Raw genomic sequence first — 20,536 nt, 5'->3', positions numbered from 1 at the left:
GAGCTGGTGCCGGGAGAACCATCCCAGACAGTGGGGCAGGAAAGGGGGCAGCTCAGGGTGAGGTCCTAGACCACCCAGAGAGCCCCTGGATCACTTGGGTGGCTCTACCTCATGTCCCGTCAGAGTCGCACAGCTGGGAGGGCCCTCCAAAAATGGGAGGGCAAAGACGGGGAGGTGTTTGCACCATCATGGTTTCCATCCCCCAAACACCAACCCCCAGAACTCAGGGCCAAAGAACCAGAATCATTTACATTTCCAGCTTGCTGAGTTGAGAGCACCTGTGTCAACTCCCAGCACCGCAGCAGCCAGCCCCGGCTCAGAGGAAGCTTTGAGGCAGGGCCACAGCCACCCCACCAAGGATAATTTCCCTCATGAAGTATATTTGCCAGGCGGCAGATGTGCAATGATCTTTGTCTCCTCAATACAGGCCATGGGCCCTGCATCCTGTCGGGCTCACCTATTCTCACCCACCTCCTTTTCATTTCATCCTACTCTTTTAGTAAAGATTTTTTTTTTCCTTTCAAGTTAATTATGCAAGTGATACATGAATACATTCTGGGTCTAAATGTGTCAAACAAAACAAAAAAAGTGAAAGTCATAGGAAACATACCCCCCTACTCCCCACCCCGTACTCCCTGTTTTCAGTTTGGTGTGACTTCCAGACTTTGTCTTTCACATGTAAATACAGGTCTGAGTATATAATGGGCGAGTTGATTGTGTCTCCATTGTATATACATGGCGTCTATTATTTCACAACTTGCTTTTCCCATCTGACAATGTGGCTTTCCATGCTGGTACATTGAGGGTCTTTTCATCTTTTTAACTGCTTTTGAGTATTCACAGTTTAAAAATGAAAGCATTCCTGTCCTAAGGGACATTTAGGTGGTTTTTAATTTTTTTTTGCTATTCCAAGCAGCCACACTGGATCCTTGCCGACTCCACTGTGAGCACGAGTGTATGTGGATCATAGGATCAGGACTTGGGAGGGATTTCTGGGTCTGAAGATGGGGAGAGATTTCTGTGCCACTGGCCACATCCCCAGGAAGGATGAGGCACCCTCCACAGACCTTCTCAAGCCTCAGCGTTCAGAGCCCGGTTCTAGCCTCTCTCCCACACTGTCTTGTGTTGTTAGGCAGCTGCTCCTTGAGAGAATCCCGTTTCCCACCTCAACTGTGAGTTCCCAAAGGGCCCCGCCAGGGATGTCTCTGGGGACAACTCAGTACAACATAGGAGAGTGAGTTTGGCAGATTAGTGGCTGCTGGGCTGAGGCTGATGCTCCCCACCTTCCCCCCTTTCAGCTGGACACCCTCACAGCCCACAGCCCCCTCCTCAACCCCTGTGAGATGTGGAAATGAGCCACAGGAAGTCAAGGCCAGCTGTTCTAGCTGGGGGTTCTATGTGTCCCACCCCCATTCCCTCCCTAGGAGAGAGCAGTGAGTGTCCAATGGCTGAGGCTTGGGCACCCTTTCTTCCCCGGCCCCCCATTCTCCACCACAGGCCTCTCACCATCCACAGCACCCTGTGATGGCAAATTCTCCTCCTGCAGCCCCCTCCCCACAGTCACCATGCCCCCAGGGCTCTGCCCTCAGCCAGGGAGCAGACTGGTCCCTTCTTTTGAACCCCGGAGTCAGCGTTAATAACTGCTTATCCGCATTTGCCTTTCTCAAAGAGCCTTAAGATAGCCAACTAATCTGCCATGCTGGCGTGTCAGCCGCTGCATCGGATGGGCTGGAGATGGACTGGGAAGGGCCCGGGGTGGGACTGCCCCAGTTAGCCTCTATATCCAGCCGCTCCCGCCTCACAGAGGTGCAGAGGGAGAGAAGGAAGGGGCTTCAACACCTCTCTAGCCCCTGCTTCACAACAGTGAACTGATATTGACACTGCAGTCTGCACTTAGTGAAGTCTGTAGAGGCTGTTCATACTCACTGGCAAGTAGGTCTCCCCACAAGCTTCTGAGGGCCATTACTCTTCCCATTTTACAGATGAGGACGCTGGGGTGGGCCCTGCCTGGGAAGGGGCTCTCCTGGGCTTCTCTCACTGCTTCCTTCTTTCATCTCCATTCCTTTCACAAATACATTCCCTTTCCACCTCCTCTCTGAACCCGAAAAGGGAAGGGAGGCAGGAGGAATTTCTACATTGGAAGGGGAGGAAAGGGGTTTTCACTGGGTGCAGGCTGGATGGTGGAGGAGTCAGGAGCTGCAGTTGTTTATCAGTCTTTTCTGGGATCAACTTGGGGGTGAAGGGGGAAGCATGGTGAGAGTGCACTGTCAGGTTCAACAGGCTCCTGGGAGCTCTTGGGGCAAAAACCCTCCCATCAGGAACCCACTTATCAACTCTCAGGCAACCTCTGGCCCTGCCACCACTATAGAAGTCCAGTGTGCCTCAGTGCCCACAGATCTTGAACAGCTCTCAATAGCCTCTGAGCACCATTTCTGTGCCTATTGGCCCCACCAAATTAGCTGAGGTGTTCTGGCATTCAGTCCTTTCAAGGAATACGTATTAGCCTCCACTTATATGCTGGACACTGAGAACCAAGCAGAAACAGAACAAAACCAGGCTCCTAACCTCATCTGAGCATGGGGAGCCTGCCCCTCAAAGAGCAAATATATGTGACTCTGTCAGGGAGTGATGGGTGCCAAACAGAAAGGGAAACAGGAAAAGGGGTCAGGGTCTGTGTGGGTGCAGGGCTATGCTAAATGGGGTGGTCAAGGGAAGTGTCTCTGAGGAGGTCTCATTTGAGCAGAAACCAGAGTGAAGGGAAGGAGCACACCATGCTGATAGCAGAGGTGGGGTGGGGGTGCCGTTCTGGGAAGAGGAAAGACCAGTGCAAAGACCCTAAGACAGAGTGCACCTGGGGGGCTAAGAAGTAGTGAGGGGACCAGTGAGTGGGGCCAGGGGAAGACTGGAAGGAGATAAATTCAGGGGGTGGAGACGGCAGGGGGAGGTCACCCAAGGTCTGGAGGATCCTGAAAGATTTTGGTTCACAATAAAGTTGTGAGCTCTCTCAAAAACTGTGGCAGAAATTCCTGGAAGCTGGACAAAAGCAACAGATTCTTTTTCCTCTGGAATCCTTTTCTTGTTATCTTGGGCCATGGAAACAATATGGTCATTTCCTCCTCCTACTCCTCCTCCTCTTCCTCCCTCCCCTCATCCTCCTCCCCTCAAACCTGCCCCTGACCTTGTCCCAAGCTGGCTTGCCTGCGTACAGCAGAGGCAGTGGCCACCTCCTGGTTGCAGGCAGAGGACAAGGCCAACAAGGGGACGGGAGGAAAGACGCCCCCGGGAGAAGCAGGCGGCAGCACGAGGGACGACGTCACGGGGGCCTCTGACCGCTATTCATTTCAGTCCCCGGGTGTCTCCATCAATAACAGTCTGCCAGTGACCAGGAGGGAGGAGGACGGGAGAGGGAGGAGGAGTGATCTGGGGTCTGGAGGAAGGGAGACATGAGACAGAGAGGGAGAGAGATTTCTCCGAAGCTTCTCCAAGCCTGAGGCAGGAGTTGGAGGTGGGGAAGGCAGAGGGGGCACTGGGAGCTGAGAGTTTCTGTCTCCCAGGCTTTTCTCCCTGTTTCCTTCTTTCATCTCCGTTCCTTTCACAAATACATTCCCTTTCCACCTCCTCTCTGAAGCCAGAAAGGGAAGGGAGGCAGGAATTTCTACATTGGAAGGGGAGGAAAGGGGTTTTCACTGGGTACAGGCTGGTTGGTGGAAGAGTCAGGAGCTGCAGAGGACACCGGGAGCATTCTGTGGCCGGCAACCAGAGTCTAAAGCAAGCCTGGTGACAAGGGCTGACATAGGTACCATACTGGCACCAGCAGCCTGTGGGCCTCATGAGAGGAGGGCTTGGGCCACGAGGTCTGGCACAGAGCCTGGCACAGAGCGAGCACTCAGGAAATAAATGGCCATGGCAATGACCAAATGGCTGGCTGTGGAGACTGGCTGGGGATGGACTAGACCAGCCAAGGAGGGCTGCCTGGAGTAGGTAGAACTTGATCAGATTCTTGAAAGATCAATGGGTTTCGGAGAAGTGAACATGGGGAAGAGGGGTATACCAGGTGAGGAGGTGGTGAGAGCAGAGGAATGCGGGGGCAGAAGGGAACACAGGTTGTTGGGGATGTGGCCTTGGATAAGATCACGTGAGAGAGAGAGGAACAAGAGAGGCAGCCATTCCACAGGGTGCCTTCTCTGGGGCCATGGGTGGCTTGAAAAGGTCTGAGGTGACTGTTCACCAGAACATTCAAGCCTGCTTCCGCCATAGTGAGCTTTTGGGCTTTCCCCATGGTTTTGAGCCTTGCAGGCCTCCCAAGCCACCTTCAGCCACATCTGCAGGCAGAGAAAGAAGGCCTGACACTGGGCATGCTGGACAGCTTATGGGAACTCCCAGAAAGACTCCCCCATCCCCACTCTCTTGGCCTTGTCACCACACCTAAAGGACAGCACTGAAAAGTCACCCCTTGAGTATATTCTTCTGTCAAATCCGGATTCCCTGGCGAGGAGGTGGGGTGTGGCCCAGTTAGAATTAATCAGTGGGAGAGCTAGACTGAGCCTTCTCAGTTCGCAGGTGGGGAGACTGAGGCCAGAAAGAGGATGTGATTTGTTAAGGTCACCTAGGGAATTAAAGGCAGAGCAAGGGTGGTCTAGTGCTGTAAGTCGGTGGCCTGGATATGCCCTAGAAGCCCTCTGACTTGGAGGGGTGTGAAGACCATCTGTCACTGCAAATCAAACAACAGGGGTTGGGACAGGGGACACAGGGTACGTTTATTTTATTAGGAGGGCCTGGCTTGGGGTCCTCCTTACAGACTGAGCCTTTATTTGTAAGGCTTAGAGGAGCCCTCCACCATCCCTGAGGGAGCAGCGCCCAGCACTCCTACCGGCCAGAAAGACAGCCCATGGTCAAGTGTGGCTAGAGGTGCTGGGGGTGAGGGGTGGAAGCTGCCCCTTCTAGGAAGCGTAGGGGCTGGCGCTGAAACAGGGCAGAGAGGTCTGAGGCACCAGGGTACGGGGTAAGGAGAGAACCGTAAGGAGAGGGGGGTGTGGTGGGGGGAAGATGCAGGGTGGGGAGACTCCGCGGAGGGAGCAAAATAGAAAAGCAAAGGGAGGTACGAGAGGCAGACAGCCGGGAACACCGAGAGGCAGAGAAGCTCCGAGAACAGTGCACGGGAGAGAAAGAGAGGTGGGGACAGGGACCGAGCGGCAGGGAGGGGCGGGAGCCTGGAGGGCGGGCGGCAGGGCGCGTCGGCGGGCCCGGGGGCGCCCCACTGACCCTTCTTGGCGCTTGCTTTCCTCCCCAGGCTGCGCCTTCCTCACCTACTGCGAGCGTGAGTCAGCGCTGAAGGCCCAGAGCGCGCTGCACGAGCAGAAGACTCTGCCCGGGGTAAGTGGCGCCCGCCGTGGCGCAAGCGGCCGACGCGCCGACAGGGGGCGACTTCGGGAGGCCGGGCGGCGGCGCGGCGCGCGGGGAGAGGACGGCAGGGCGCCCGCCGCCCCGCCTGAGCTCGGGAGCCCGCGCGCCCCCCCAAATCCCTGGGCTCTCGGCCGTCCGGGCCCAACGGGATCCGGGACAGGGGCCCCACTTGGCCGTGGCCGTGAAGTTCCTGCGCGGGCAGCCTGGGGCGGGGGAGCGGCGCGTCCCGGGTCCCCGGAGCGGGAGCTGCCTCCGCCGGGCCCGCGGGCCGCGTGCGCGATCGAGTCCGCCCATCGAGTCGACGCGGGCCGCTCTAGTGGGGGAGGAGGGGGCCGGCGTGGGAGGGGGCGCCGCAAGTGAGATCACCGCGGTTTATTTAAGGAGCCAGCCCTCGTCTTTGATAAACTATCGCGCCTCGGCCCTGGTTTATAGCTTCTGTGCGGGGGAGAAGAGAATTATTTATGGCCCCCCTAACTGGGTGTGATATCAGCCATGGCTATTATCGAGGCTAGTTCATCACCATAAAATAAGAAGTATTCTTCGGGTCAAGGGTCTGCGCGGTCTCTCCTGTGGGTTCAGAGAGATGGGGCGGTGGTGAGGGGGGAGAGATATACGGCTGCTGAGTATCTAAGGATAAATGGAAAGATGTGTGTTTGTGGGCATAATTTAAAGATTTTCTAAATATAGTGTTGACGCTTATACAATGGACACTGCAGGGAAGCACATGTGTTCTATAAGTATGCACACCCATGCTTACACATGCATGTTTACATTCTTACCAAGCCAACCGTATGTAAACACACGTTTCCATTTCTACCCCACAGCGGGAAAGGTTAACCAGGTAGACGGAGAGAAAATGCAACCCCGGGCGGGGGCAGCCTTCCTTTGCATCGAAGATCTTTCTTTACTCGTTTAGGGGTGGGGAGAGCTGAATTACACAGGGCCTTCCTTCCATTAAGACAGCCTTTGTATTGTATTTTGGTATTTGTGATTGCAAAGCACGGGGCTGAGTCATCTTAATAACATACCCACAGATGCAAATATATGGAAATCGAGCACCGCACAGATTTTGTGTGAAGCCCAGCTCTGGCAGGGTGGCCATTCCCCAGTTGTTTTTTCAGTTGCGCGGCTACATGCACATATATTATAGTAATTACTTTCTGGGTGCCCTCTGTAAGACGGCAGAAATATGCCTCACATCGCCCCATGTTATGTGTGAAGCATAAAGCCATATTGTAGGATAATCAAAGGCTTCTGAGAAAGGTTTGTGCTGATTAATAAAGTGTTTATGGTACTTTGTTTTGGGGGAGACTGTGACAGATATTTTAGAGCCACCCAAATGGAATAGAAAATACCACATTGTTATGGGAGGCCCTTCATCAGCTTGAGAGAGATTGCTAGGGAGTTTCATGGTGGCTAAAAGCCGGAATCAGAAGGGGAAACAGAAAGAGAGAAGGTGAGAGGGGGAGGTTTAGGATTTTGAAAGGGGAGAGGCTGGGAATTGGGAGTATTTCAGTAGCAAGTGTGGATTGTTGAGGATCTAACATTAACTTGTGGTTGTTTATTTTACATATAATAGAATAGCTAAATGATGGAGTGTATTAGTTCTTTAATAATTTATAGAAATACTTTGATGTTGCAGTAATTACATTAAAGGTCACATATCAAAGGTAATTTGGTTGAGCAGCTGTGATGGTTTCTCAGAAGCAATCAATATCACTGTCCGTGGTGCTGATTTCACCAAGGGGCCTGCCAGATTAAAGAAGGCTTATTACCAGGCAGAAAGGCCCAGGGGAAATCAGGAGCACATTGGAGCGACGCGCCAGCCCCCTTTCCACCCATAATTAACACTGTTCCCCATAATCTGTGCTAATCCTTCATACTGGGAGATCCAGTGGCATTTTTCTGAAATCACAAAGACAAGTTGAGTAAGTCTGAGGGAAAGGGCAAAAAGAAACGTGAGTGTATGTTGGGACGGGGAGGGGGGAAGATAGATAGAGGCCAACAGCAGAGCTGAAACATAGCCTAGAGTCCCCTCGAACACCATCCCTTCTTCAAAGGCTTCACAGGGAAACTCATGGCCTCAAAAACCTCATCAAACAATTCTCGGGGCAGGCACGCCCACCAGAGGGAGGGGCAGGAATAAAAGACCGGATTGCAGCTCGAAGTTCCGAGGGCACATTGTCTCCACACAAACCTGCATGCAGACAAATGAAACACAAAATGACCAAGTAAAATTATTCTTTAAAGTAGAGTTGTTTTGATTCCAGAAAGCAGACCTGGTGTTATTGCTGTTGGTTGGTTCTCTCCTTTGAGATCAGAGAAAGTGTGCCACTAGCAAATGCAGGGACGGGACCAAGCCAAATGCTCTCACCCAACCAAATAATAGGCGATCCTGCCAGCTGTGGCTGTGTTCATGGCTGCCTGTTTCGGTGAGAGACAGAGGGGGACTTCTTCTTGTCTGGGGTGACCACACTAGGTGCCCCAGCAAGCACACTCTATGTCTGACTAAAGAGAATGAAATTGAAAAAAAAGAACCTGGAAAACTGGTAACCTCAGCAATTTAGGCACTTTTCCAGACTTCAAAATCCATTAAAATCAATCCATTAAAATCAGCCCTCCACTTTCTCGCTGAGGAGAGAAAGAGGAGAAAAGATAGTACAGGCAGTCTATGCTGTTTCTAGTGAGTTATGGAGCTCGCATCCTGTTGCCAGCAAGAAAAATAATCCCATTGCTGTCATACACACACACCACCACCGTCACTATGAGCAACAATAACAAAATGACAGAGACAGAACTAGAGGCACCCCTAGCACATGTCTTCATTGGAGGCCTGAAAAGGGAAGCTGACATTTCTCTTGGGATCAGTGGAAGCTCAGAAACCAGACCACAGTGGCTGTTCTTACAAATCAGTGATACGTGATTCCCAGTATCCCTGGGAACCAGCCTGAGCAGGGCCCTCTGATGGCTGATGGAGTCATCCCTGGACCAGTGGCACAAATGGATTATTATTTTTGAGTTTGGCATGTTTTAGTAGAATTAGATTATTAAACTATGAAGCTTCATCTGGGTCTTTTTGAGCACTGCCTTCTGCCAGAATCCAGGCAGAGTGACTCCCTTTTTCTAATCTCTCTGCCTCTCTCGCCCTCATACTCTTGATCTCACTCTTTCCTGACTTCCTGTTCTTTTCCTGCCCATGCTCCTCTATTCACAAAATTTGTTTCACTATTCACAGGGGACAGTCAACATGGGGCAGTTTCTCAATCCATCAACAAGTATTTCCTGTGTGCCAGACGTTCTGTAAAATACAGAGATAAGAAAAACACATCCACCTCCCCGCTTGGAGTTGACCACCAAGTTGGGGATGGAAGCCACACACACACACAAATATCTACATAGTCAACAATACAAGACAGCACATGTTACTATAAAATGGGTAGTGTGGACAATTGTTCAATAATCACAGTATTTTTAAGTGCTTACTATATGACAGGCATGATGCCAAGCACTTTACCTACATTGCCTCATTTTATCTTCAAAACTACGCTATGAAGAAGATGTCATGATTATCCCTCACAGAGGAGGAGATCGAGGTTTGCCCAAGGTCACAAAATTGATAAGTGGCCGAGCCAGGACCAGCACTGAGTCTGCTACCAAAGCTCAGGATACCTGCCTCTGCCAGTGCCACCGGTTGCTTTAGGAATTTAGAGAGAACCAGGATGACCATGGAGTGCAGGAGTGACTCAAAGTTTTCATTCAGGATATGGGTAGGGTGGGAGTAAAATGAGTCAGATGGGAGCACTGGTCCGAGAAACGGCCCAGAGTCGAGGCACACACAACAGGCCAGGAGCCAGGTGACTCACACAGGGCAGGAGAGGCCCACTCTGAGAACCACCTGGGGCCTGAGTGTGCACAGGAAGCCTCTTGAAAGAAGTCTGTTCCTTAAAATCTACCCCTGAAGCTTTGTCGCAGCTCCTCCAGCCATTGGGACTTTGTGGGGAATCGTCTTCCAGGAAGAGCCCTTCTGTTTCCAAGGTTGGGAATACAGGGTCTCAAGGGAGATGCTCAGATGAGAGAAAACCAGGTGCTATGACAAGCTGTGGCCAGCACTTTTGCTCCTTTGGTAGCAGAAAGGGCTTCTCACCAGGGCTGGCAGGGGAAGAGCTGGGTCCAGCCAGTAGGAGGCAAGGAAGCAGTGGGAATTAGAGCTGGTCAGGGATGGGGGTGGGGGAAGTGGGAGCTGTATCTCCTTGGTAAACATTAAAGTTCCAACTCACTAGTCAAAGATTGGCTTTTGTGTCCTCATTCCAACAATCCTAGAATACAAAGCAAACTAACACACTCCTCCCTGCTGTCTCCCCCTTCCCCTCCCCTCGCGTCAGCCTGGCAGACATGCAGAGTCCCGCCATCACGCCTCCTGACTCAGGTCACCGCGACTCAGGATGGGTCACTTCCATGGAAATTCAATGTGACCTTCTTTGAGTTTACCAGGAAAGATGTTAAAGTGGGAAAATTCTTTTCAGAGAGCTCAAATGGATTTCTAGCACCGCTATCTCAGACTGTCTCTCCTTTCTATCCCTTCTTCTCACTTTTCTCTTTCTTAATCCCATTTCCTCCTCCTTTCTTTCTTTTTCTTTTTCTTTCTTCTCTTTGTGCCCCCATTTTCTCCTCTCTTCTCTCCCTCTGCCCATTTTCCTCTATCTCTCTCACCAACACTTTCTTCTTTTATCCTTCAGACTTGTCTCTCCTTTCCCTCTCCTCCCTCCCTCTTTCAACTTTGGCCCACCCCACCTCAACCCTGACATCCACAGGAGGCTCTGGTGGGGCCCCCATCACCATACGGGGGCTTCCCTGGCAAGGCCCATCTCCCTCCCTGACAGTCCTGCCATTGAGGGATCCATCTAATTTTATGTACAACTGTAAAGATGAATGATAAGTAGAAAGGATGAAGGCAAGAACAAGATGAATAAATTATAAAGGGCAAATGATGACAAGACAGGGGTCCCCAGAGACAGTGATATGATAACAGAAACTAAAGACGAATTTATGATGGATGTAGTTAGCATGTATGGAGGCTGTTAATTCTTCGGGGTAGTTTTACAATTTCTAGTGATCGGTGCAATCAAAGCTTTTCATTTTAGAAATGGGATGTATTTCCACTTGTTTGTCCTGTAGGCACAGTGTTGGTTTTTGTCTCTGAACAGTGAGTCTGGGTCCCATCAGCACCTGCATCTTCCCTCCCAGCCCCTGCCACCTTCTGTTTCTCTGCAGAGATCATCTCAGCCAGATCCACACACTCTTCCAGTTCCCCGGTCCTGTTCTTCCTCTTGCTGAGTGTATTAGCATGGGACTGCTGCAACAAAGCACCACAAATTGGGTGGCTTAAACAACGGAAATGTATTGTCTCGCAGTTCTGGAGGCTGGCAGTCCCAAATCAAGGTGTTGGCAGAGTTGGTTCTTTCTGAGGGCTGTGAGGGAGAATCAGTTCCAGGCCTCTCTCCTCGCTTCTGGGAGCCTCAGACATTCCTCAGTTGTAGATGGCGTTCCCTCTGTGTCTTTGCATCATCTTTCCAATGTACATTGTCTGTGTCCAGACTTCTCCTTTTTATGAAGACAGCAGTCATATCGCGTTAGGGCCTGCCCTAATGACCTCGTCTTAACTTGATCATCTGCAAAGACCCTATTTCAAAGAAGGTCACTTTCATGGGTCCTGGGGTTAGGACTTCAGCATCTTGTGAGGGGAACACAATTCAACTCATAACACTGAGAAAGGGGCTGCCCTGTGGCTCTTCCACAGTAGGGAGGATAAAGGCCTACAATAGTGTCTGAGTCATGGGGGTCGCCCAGCCTTTCCTCTGTATCTCACCTGGATTCATGCTTTTTTCTTTCTCTTTGGGAGAATGGATGATATATCTTTCTTCTTTCTCATATTCCCTGAAAAGAAGTACTCATCTGTCCTTTTAGGGCAGTGGCTCTCAATTTTGCCCTGCGGGGGACATTTGACATTGGAGATGCTACTGGCATCTAATGGGTAGAGGCCAGGGCTGCCGCTAAATATCCTACAATGTACAGGACAGTCCCACAGCAAAACATCATCTGGCCCCAAGTGTCAACAATGCCAAGGTAGAGAAACCCCATCCCGGGCCTAGGGTGGGTAGAAGGTGGGACAGTGAGGCCCTGGGGCAGAGCGTTCCTCCCTTACTTGCTGGTTCTCATTCATTCAGGGAACAAGCCCAAAGGTCCTTAGAGTGTTACAAGAGGGATGACTTGTGAAGAGGCAAAAGCTCCAATGGTGTGAGCACCGGGTAGGTGGGGAGTACGGGCAGGAGCAGAGGGCAGAGTCCACCTCCGGGCATTAAGGATCATTTGTCGCCTGCCGTTCACATGCACCCACGTCTGCAGGGCAGACTTGACCCAAGGGCTTAGCAGTTTCAGCACCGACTCCAGCTCAACTCTCTCCTGGGTTAGGTGAATGGAGACTTTGCTATAACAGAGCTGGGACCAGAACCCAGGCCTTGAGACCCACTCATGTGGGGCATTTCTCCAGCCCATACCTTCAGAAGAGCCCCCATCCCAACAGCAAACCTGCTTGGCAGGCATGTGCCCTAGCCAGGCTTTCCAGCCAAACAGGACCTTCACCACAGAACACCAGCCTGGGCTCATTATACAGAAGGGAACACCAAGGTTCCAAGAGAGAAGCCCAAAGCACTTTAAATCCAGGTACTGAGGGACAGATGGGTATAGGGGCTACATCTGTGATGCCTTCGAAACTTGCCTCTGCTCTTCCACGTTATCCCTTAGCCCAGCCCCCTGTCCCACTGTGTTCATGCAAAATCTTTTCAATCTCCTCCCCACAGAGACATCTCAAAGTCCTCCTTCTCCCTGGGGCTGTGCCCACAGTCTTCCCTCCTAGACGGCCCACTTTCTCCTTCCCTGCCCCAACCACTGTCCTGAGGGTTCCACATTTTTCAAGCAAGTGACTCTTGACTCTCATAGGGGCCTCATCTTCTCAGTGGCCCCCACGACATAGTCCAGGCCTGCCATGGGCTGTGCCCAGAAAGGCTCCCTAACAAGTTGATCTGAAAGAACCAGAGAACCTCTGTGCCTGCAGTCATCATACATGACTTGAAGGAAATAAACAAACAAGAGGGCACATGAGATAATAAGCAGAGGGAACCTGGGCCAGGTCCAGCCTGCCACCAACAAGCCACGTGGTCTGGGCAGAGCAATGAGCCCGGACCCTCCCTGGACACACCATCTAGACTGTGAAGGAGGCGGTGGGCCAGATCGCCTCTCAAGACCCTTCCAGCTTTCTTTATATTTCTAAGAATAATGAGCTCAGCATTACTCACATTACTTAAGACAACAGGGAGAGGAGAGGAGAGGGGGAGAGCAAGGACGACAGTGTCTCCTGCTCTCCACTACCCGACGCCATTGGTGACAAGTATAATAAAGCGTGGGTCAGATATGTCTCTCCCTGACGCAGAGCAGCCAGACTGCCTGCTCCCCAGGGCTGGGGCTGGATTCCTGATGGTACCCCCACCCCTGCCCTCTGCTCAGGTCTCATTCTAAGGACACCAGACAGGCATTTTGCAATTTTCACACTGCCCCAATGTGGCTTGGATCACGGCTGCCATCACCCAAGTCAGCGGCAGCAGCGTTTACAGATAGCCTGCCCCCTGCGAAGTTTGGTTGTGGGAGGGAGGGTGTCTGGCATCGGACAAAAATAAGTAAGACACGGCCTGTTGCAGAAGGAGTTTATAATCTGGTTTGGGAGGCAAGTGTGAAGACAGCTCATGATCCAGAAAATATCTTTAGGGGCCCCAAAAATGGTAGTGAAGGGAAGTGCCCAGGAGTTCAGATGAGAGAGATGGCAGGATAAGCCAACATGCCCTGCAGGAGCCCACACCACCACAGTGGCCTTCTGCTTCCAGGCCCTCACCCCTCTGATGCATTCTTCAGAGGCTGGCCAAGGGTGTCATTGTAAAATAAAGGTCCCACCACCTGCAAACCACCCAGGCTTCTGTCACCCACAAGATTCAGCCAGGGCAGACACCATCCTGGCCACAAACCCTCCAGATGCACGTAGCCTTCCTGCAAGCTCCTCTTTTTCCATGTCATTCCCTCTGCCTGGAGAGTTTCCATTCATCCTTGGAGGCCCAAAGTCAACATCACTTCCTCTGAACAAATTCTCTGCCCCGCTCGGGGAGCTTTCCAATCCGTCCCCATCCAAGCACCCAGCACTGCCCTTGGGGCCCAGGCTGCTCCATTAACTCCAGAGTTCCCATCTTGGATTCCCAGCCTGTACCTGCTTTCCTCTTTCTGCGCCTGTGCCTGGAACTGACCCAGAGCAAGGATGGGCGGGAGGGAGGCAGCTCCCCATCTGCTGAGCGACCTTGCTGGCCTTGGCATTTCCAGAGGCACCAACAGATCATTCTGGCATCTCCTATTCCAGCCATATCACCTCTATGCCCCTCCAGAAAGTCTTCAGCCTAGCTCACCCTGCGGGGGTGCATTTGGAAAGAGGAGAAAGCTTCGCTCTCTGGTCATGGATGTAGAAAGGAAGTGCTGTGTGGAAGGTGCTTTGGCCCAGGCATTCGCCGCCGGTGCAGGTGTGAATGTGGGCATGTGTGGAGCGAGGTGTGTGTCCACCGGAGCGAGAATGTGAGGCTGCCACAAGGGCTGTGCCTGCATGAATCCGTGTGAGGCTGCAAAGGGTTTGTTGACCTTTCGCCAGAAAACGAGGCTGAGAAACAGAATGTCTGTGTGAGCTCCTGCTCCGGGATGGATGTGTTTTAGGATTGGAGGGTTTCTGCTGGGCGCATGTGTGTGGGCGAGCAGAAGGACACGTCTTTGTTGTTGACCTGCAGGGATCCGGAACTGTGGGCTGCCACATGCCATCAAAAATGGGCAAGCCTGGGTGATAATAGAAAAAAATGGCATTGTTCTTTATTCTTTAATTCCTCATGAAAACGGCTGTTGTAAAGAGGAAAGGGCTGGAGTGCAGGGGAGATAAGGTCTCTCTAGGGCGCCGTAGTTTACTGTGGTTCAAGCACCCTTTTTTTTAATCAAAGGCATTTGTGGTATGTTCCCATGAGCCCACCAGGGGGCGCCATGTGGGTGGCATCCCCTTCTGGTGGCTGAAGGAGCACAGTGTGTTTAATGGTGAGCCTGGTGTGCCCAACCCTGTGCCCAGCACAGAAGAGGCAAAATGATGCCGAACACTCGGCTCCACCCTTCAGAACACTGTCAGCCTGTGCAGAGGACACCAACCAACTTGGGGCATCCACCCAACCTTTCCAGGTCTGAGTTCCCTAATTTCTATCATGAAAATCACATGTGTGCGCCCTTTATATGCTGTGGATTGCTAGAAATCATCCAAGTTGTATTATTAATGACAAAACAATGATGCGAGTGGGGATGACCTTCGGAGTCCTTTGCCACAATAAAGTCCTGTGACTCCTAATTCACAGATGAAATAATTAAGAGGATAATAAAAATATAGAATGGCTCAAGTATGCAGTTTGGACCATATGTCCCATTATATTTCAGAAGAGAGCTGGGATGCCCCGAAAGGACTCCATGGAGTGGGGAGGACAGAAGTTGGTTGTGTATGTAAAGGGAGAGGAACTCGAGAAATGAGTAAGAGGAGGAAGGCTTGGGGAGCCAGGTCAGTGTGAATTTTCCTCCTGGAATTGGGAGTGAGAACAGGGAAAATGTGTCTGGAGATGGAGGAGGCTTTTCTCACACTGCTGTGCTTCAGAGCCTCTAGCCCCTTACAGCCTGTAGGCTCCAATCAACTCCATGCAGATCAGTTGCTCTGAAATCCTGCAGGTGCTGGGCATGGCTTCAGGCCCCAGCAAGTCTCCAGCTTCCCCGCTCCCTAGAAAGGACCTGCCTCCTCCCAGCCTACCCACCAGAATCCTCCCAGGGCATCAGGACCTAGCCCCAAGCTCCCTTCCTCTGTGATGCTCCTCTAGGTTGCTCTAACCAACACTGATCTCGCCCTTGCCTGAGCCTCTGCAGGTCAACAGCACCGGAAGTCTAAGCCCTGGCTAAAATGTGGACATCAGATCAGCATCACTGGGGTCTGTTAGAAATGCAGAGTCTTGAGCTTACTCTAGATCATCTGAGCCATGTCACTCAAACAGCAGCCACCACCCTTTAACAAGATCCCTAGGAGATTCGTGGGCACAAGAAGTTCAACCACCACTGGCCTAATGTTAGGCTTTAAAGGATATTGTCTTAGTTGGAGCGCCCCCAGAAGCAGACTGTAGACAAGCATTTGAGTGCAAATAGCTTCTTTGTGGGGTTGACCCCAGGAACTTGGGTCAATAGTGGAGACAAGGAAGAGAGGAAATCAATAAGGGGTGTCTTATCAGGCAGACCAGCTTCCACTGCGGGTGTTGCTGAACCCCACTGGGACTCTAGAGCCAATGTCAATCATACTCCTTGGAGTCATCCCACCCAAGGGGCCAGAGAACTGGGGTATTCATGCACCAATTTCCACCAGGCTGTGGCCGAGGTTGTGCCCAGGGGTCTTCCGCTTTCTAGCTTTTCTGGCTTGCTGCATGCGTGGGCAAAGTGGGCTCCACAGTCAAAGGAAGCCCTCGAGCTGGAAGTGCTGGTGCTGGCAGTTGGAAGTCAACCCACTGTCACTGAGGTGGGGAAGAGAAGGGGTCATGGGCAGGACACCACCTACATCTACTGCAGATTGAGCCTTGTGGCATCATCCCAAATAAGAGAGCAGATCAAAGAATCTTGTCTCTCTAACTCCGATGACAGCTACCAATCACTGTGTACTCGCTACAGCCAGACACTTCACAAATATTATCTCATTTATTTAAGACAGCATCACCCAGGTCTTAACCAGGCCTTATTAGTGCTATTGTATGGAAGAGGAAACTGAGGCAAAGGGGCTTGCTCAGACCAGAAAACCATGGAGAGATCTGGCGCCAGAGCCCATGCTCCTTCCTCCTCATCCTAGGGCACTAACCCTGTGGAAAGCCAGAGCTGCATGAGGGCAGGAACCGTCCCCGTCACCCCAAGGCCACACACCAGGTTCTTCTGGCAGGAGACTCTGGCATGATTGCTAGACACCCAGGGGGCCCTGTGGGGCAGGGCAGTGGCCCTCGAGGTGTCACCACACACCTGGCCTACCTCTGCATTGGAGAAGTCCTGTTCTGAATGGAAGGCAGAGTCTGATTCCATCCCCAGCTCTGCCTGGAGCCTTACTGTGTGCCCTTGGGAAGCCATTTAACCTCTCTGAATTGTAATTTCTAAGTGGCCACCCTTCCACTTAGAAATTCATTTGGCTGCAGTGGCCTCAACAAATAACACTTTGGGTTTTTTGCACATCACAGAGTCTGGGGCCTCGTGTTGCTTCAGCAACATAACCATGCAACAGCAACAACGTAACAGAGTCCTTCTCACTGCTGTCGGAGGGCATTGCATCTGTCATCAAGCAGAGCAGGTCCAGCTGCCTCTGTCCCTTCTATCGGGAATGCAAAAGGTTTCCAAGAGGTCCCCTCTCCAGGAGACATCTAAGTATGTCTCATTGGCCAGAGCTATGTCACAGGGCCACCCTAGCTGCAAGGAAGTCTGGGAAAGAGGATATCTTGCCAAAGACTATGCACATGTCTTCCATGAACAAATCTGTGCTTCTTCAGTGAAGGAGAAGGGCCGGATAATATTGGTGGGACCTGGAAGAGTCTACCCTCACACAGCCTGGTGGAGATGGTCAGGGGTTACAGAAGAGCAAGCTGGCTGGAGCAGCAGCCACCCCCCACACACGTGCCGCATTTGCCTTCAGCTTAGATCACACCCTGATGCTTCCATGAGGATGCTGAGTCAAGAAAGCAGTCTTAGGGTGTGGACAAGAGGAGCTTCTTCATGCAGCACTGCTAACTCTGCATGTTTATTCCAGCTACTGACATGGTTTCCAATTCTGTGAGATTCATAAGGGGGAAGGGAATAAAATTTCAGCTACCCTTAGGTAGCATATTTGCGTCCTCTGTGTCTTTCTCGAGTTTGTGCCCTTCTGTGCCTTTGTGTGTGGCTTAAATATTGAAGAATCAAAGGCTGCCACGCCAGCAGACAGCTGTGCCACATCACAGGCATTCCACAGGCAATTCCTCACTCCCACTTTTTTGACAGTTGCACCAGTGGTCTCACACCCTCTGAAAGTGGGTCGGCCGGCTTTCAGGGCCAGCAGCAATGGCACCAACTTTATTTTCAGAGACTGAAGCAGGACCTCTTTTGTAAAGGGGTGTGGGGTGAGGTAGGGGTGCTCTGTGCAAAGCCTGCTCGGATTGACCTTCCTGGTAAACTTCAGCATGGCTGAGAGCCAGGAAGGAGGGGACCAGGGATAGCACGGGCTGGCCTGTGCTGCCCTCTACTCCTGAGGCCCTCCCTCATAGCCTCTGCCAGTGGCCTGGGCTGTCCCACAAGGTAGTGAGCCTCTGGTCACAGACATGTTCAAGCAGGCTGAGTCGCAGGGTTCGGGGGTTGATGCAGGTAATTCCAACATTGGACCAAATCAGTTCTGGGGGGCGAGTTAAGATCCCATGATTTTATCTTAAGTTTTACTAGCTTAACCATCATAAATGCCCGCATAGAACCAGTCCCAGTCCTCAGCCCCAGCCAGTTTGGCTAGGTCCCAAATTCCCTAGCCTCTAGCCTGGAGTAATCCTCATTTCTCCTTCAGGCCTCCCAATTTCTCCCTTCTCTGAAGACCTTCAGGCCTTAGAGGCGAAACCCTCCATGCCGCTGGGCAGGCTCATGCCTTAAATTTAACAACCTAGCCTCCAATCCCAGCTCCACCACTCTGAGCTGTGTGACCTTGGGCTAATCACTTAACTTCTCTGTGCCTCAGTTTTCTCATCTCAGCCCTGGGGTGCCAGTAGTTCTTTCATCCAGGAGCAGTTTATGGATAGCATGAAGCATGCAAAGCTCCAAACACCCTGCTGCTCTTGCACACAGGAAATGTGCACAATGACAGTTTCTCTACAGCTGCCACTCTTGCTTCAGTGATTCTGTCTCCAAGAAAGGAGTGAATCTTCCTACCTGGCCCCTTCTGATCCATCCCCGGCCCCTGGCTGCCCAGGTCTGGAGGGCAGCCAACGCAGGATGCGTAGCAGCAAACCTCCCAGCTTTATAGCCTAGTGCAGGGCTGGCCGCAGGGAGGGGCCAACAAACCCTACCACGCTGAATGGAAACCACTGTGAGAGTGGCAGGCAGGTCCATAAGGACGCTGGAGCTGGCCCTGCCAAGGCCTGGCTGTGCTGGAAGAGGAGGGCTCAAGATCACCACCTTCATGCCCCCACAAGAGGTGTTTGTTAAGTTTGTCTTCATGGTTTGCACAATCCCCCACATGAGGCCTACATCATACCTCCTTCTCCACTCCCTGTTCACCATTCTTCACTCCAAAACACAGCAGCACCCCTGGAATCTGGGTGAGCACAACCCAGAAGATTGAAAACCCTAACCAGGGAGAGCAGGAGCAGAGTCATGCCCTGGACACCCTCATGGATTAAGATGGTCCAGGAGGCCCTTCAAGGCCGAGAGACAGAGGGTCTGAAATGAATATGCATTCAGCCTCTCCCAGCAGCCCTGACAGCTGGCATCCAGCAGCTGGAACGGCTCAGAGCCTGGGAGAAGGTTTGTAATTCAATTCAGTAAGTGTTTCCTGAGCACCCACCAGGAGCATAGCCCCGCGCTAGGTGCTGCTTGGCAGGTGGAAGTGAGTAGAGGGCAAGAACCCTGCTGCCCCTGGGGCTTCCCTCCTGCGGAGGAGAGAAGATGTACATGCCAAGCAATTAGAGGACAATGGATCGAGACTCCAGACTGCAATTTAGAGCTGGGAGTGGTTTGGGAGCGCTTCCAGGCAGGACTGCTCACTGAGTGTCACACTGCCTGGGCAAGATCGGCAGGATCTAGGTGGATGGAGGGGGCTCCAGATGTCACTCCAGTGAGGTGACAGCAGGGGCAAAGGCAAGGAGGAGGGAGAGGACAGGGGGCGCTGGCTGGAGTTCAGGAAGGGCTTGGGGACGGGACTTAGCATGAGTTGGGAAGGCCTTTCACATCCCACTGAGGAGCTTGTTCCCTTTCCTTTGGGTTCTTGGGAGCTCATGAAGCTTCCTGAGTAGGAGAGTGTCCACCTCCACATGGTACATAGCATGGTCTGGATGGTGAAGGCCTGTGCCAGTCCTGATGAGAGGACTGAGGTGAGGAAGTGACATCAGGAACAGGAGCTGAGGCCAGTGGAGAGCCTGCCTCAGTCCCCCTTTCCAGGAGCAGCCTCAATGGGCACAGGCTGGCAGGAGCTACTCACTTGGTTTCGGGCAAGTCCTGCTGGTGGAGGGCTGAAGGGAAACTTGGCTCCCTCTCTGCCCTGAAGCTGGTGAGGGCATTGCCCTGACCACTTGAACACTTGTTGCACCTGAATGAGAAAGTCTCCATTCAGGGCAGGCTACGCAGTGCTGGAGAGGTTTCCAAACCACCTCATCTCACTACCACACGTAGGGATTTCTTTGACATTCAGATTTATAATAAATGTAAAGAAAGAGGCTCCACCTCTCTCTCTCTCTCTCTCTCTCTCTCTCTGTCACACACACACACACACACACACACACACACACACACACACACACACACACAGAGTCATGAAGAGTCAGGATCTGCCTGGGATCCATGTGTTGCAAATGCTCCCTGGGTGATTTCACTGCTCCTCCAGCTTCAGAAACCCTGTGTGCTCCTCTATTCTTTGTCCAGCATTGTCAGAAAATACTGATTCCTCCTCTTGGGCTAGAAGAGTTTGATCCATGAGGAGGGCCCCACTCTGCAATTATGTTTCCCTCCTGAGGGTCAGAGAACCTCAGAAAAGTGGAGTGGGAAGGGACATAAGCATCACTTGCCTAGACAGTTGGACACAGCGCTGCTGGGATGCCACATTTGGGTCTGTTCTCATTTGCAACATGGCCTTTATCTTGAAAAGGCTCCATGATTGATGACCAAGTAAACCTACCCTAATTCAGAAGACCTGGGGAGGACACCCATTTCCATTAGCATCCATATTATGGGGTGTGCTCAGTGAAGTTTTATTACTTTTGAGTAGACAACCCAACAGTGCTTC

At 52.0% G+C, this 20,536-nt stretch overlaps 1 protein-coding gene across 125 annotated transcripts in view, besides 3 other annotated features; it reads left to right on the top strand.

Annotated features, from left to right (window-relative positions):
* The window catches only part of CELF4 (CUGBP Elav-like family member 4), a 322,955-nt gene that overhangs the window by 74,901 nt on the left and 227,518 nt on the right, over positions 1-20,536 (top strand). For 119 of the 125 annotated variants that reach the window (NR_148519.2, NR_148522.2, NR_148518.2 and 116 more), the window contains exon 2: positions 5,291-5,373. Coding sequence is in view for 108 of the 125 variants with exons in the window: in XM_047437652.1 (XP_047293608.1) it covers positions 5,291-5,373 (83 nt within the window). In the remaining 17 variants the exon portion in view is untranslated. Of the gene's footprint in view, positions 1-5,105; positions 5,173-5,290; positions 5,374-20,536 lie in introns of those variants that run through there. The other 6 variants (NM_001353758.2, NM_001353759.2, NM_001353760.2 and 3 more) reach the window with 1 other exon arrangement.
* Positions 426-1,322: an enhancer, noted in NCBI's record as "OCT4-NANOG-H3K4me1 hESC enhancer chr18:35069539-35070435 (GRCh37/hg19 assembly coordinates)". NCBI's record gives its function as "activates a minimal SCP1, AML or CMV promoter by ChIP-STARR-seq in naive H9 embryonic stem cells {active_cell/tissue: H9 hESC(naive)}" and the evidence as "EXISTENCE:reporter gene assay evidence [ECO:0000049][PMID:30033119]".
* Positions 1,323-2,220: an enhancer, noted in NCBI's record as "H3K4me1 hESC enhancer chr18:35068641-35069538 (GRCh37/hg19 assembly coordinates)". NCBI's record gives its function as "activates a minimal SCP1, AML or CMV promoter by ChIP-STARR-seq in primed H9 embryonic stem cells {active_cell/tissue: H9 hESC(primed)}" and the evidence as "EXISTENCE:reporter gene assay evidence [ECO:0000049][PMID:30033119]".
* Positions 6,333-7,379: an enhancer, noted in NCBI's record as "VISTA enhancer hs371". NCBI's record gives its function as "enhancer in: hindbrain (rhombencephalon)[8/8] | midbrain (mesencephalon)[8/8]" and the evidence as "EXISTENCE:transgenic organism evidence [ECO:0001131][PMID:17130149]".

Source organism: Homo sapiens, chromosome 18, assembly GCF_000001405.40.
Source record: "Homo sapiens chromosome 18, GRCh38.p14 Primary Assembly".
NCBI lineage: Eukaryota > Metazoa > Chordata > Mammalia > Primates > Hominidae > Homo > Homo sapiens.
This window is presented reverse-complemented; position numbering and strand designations above follow the sequence as displayed.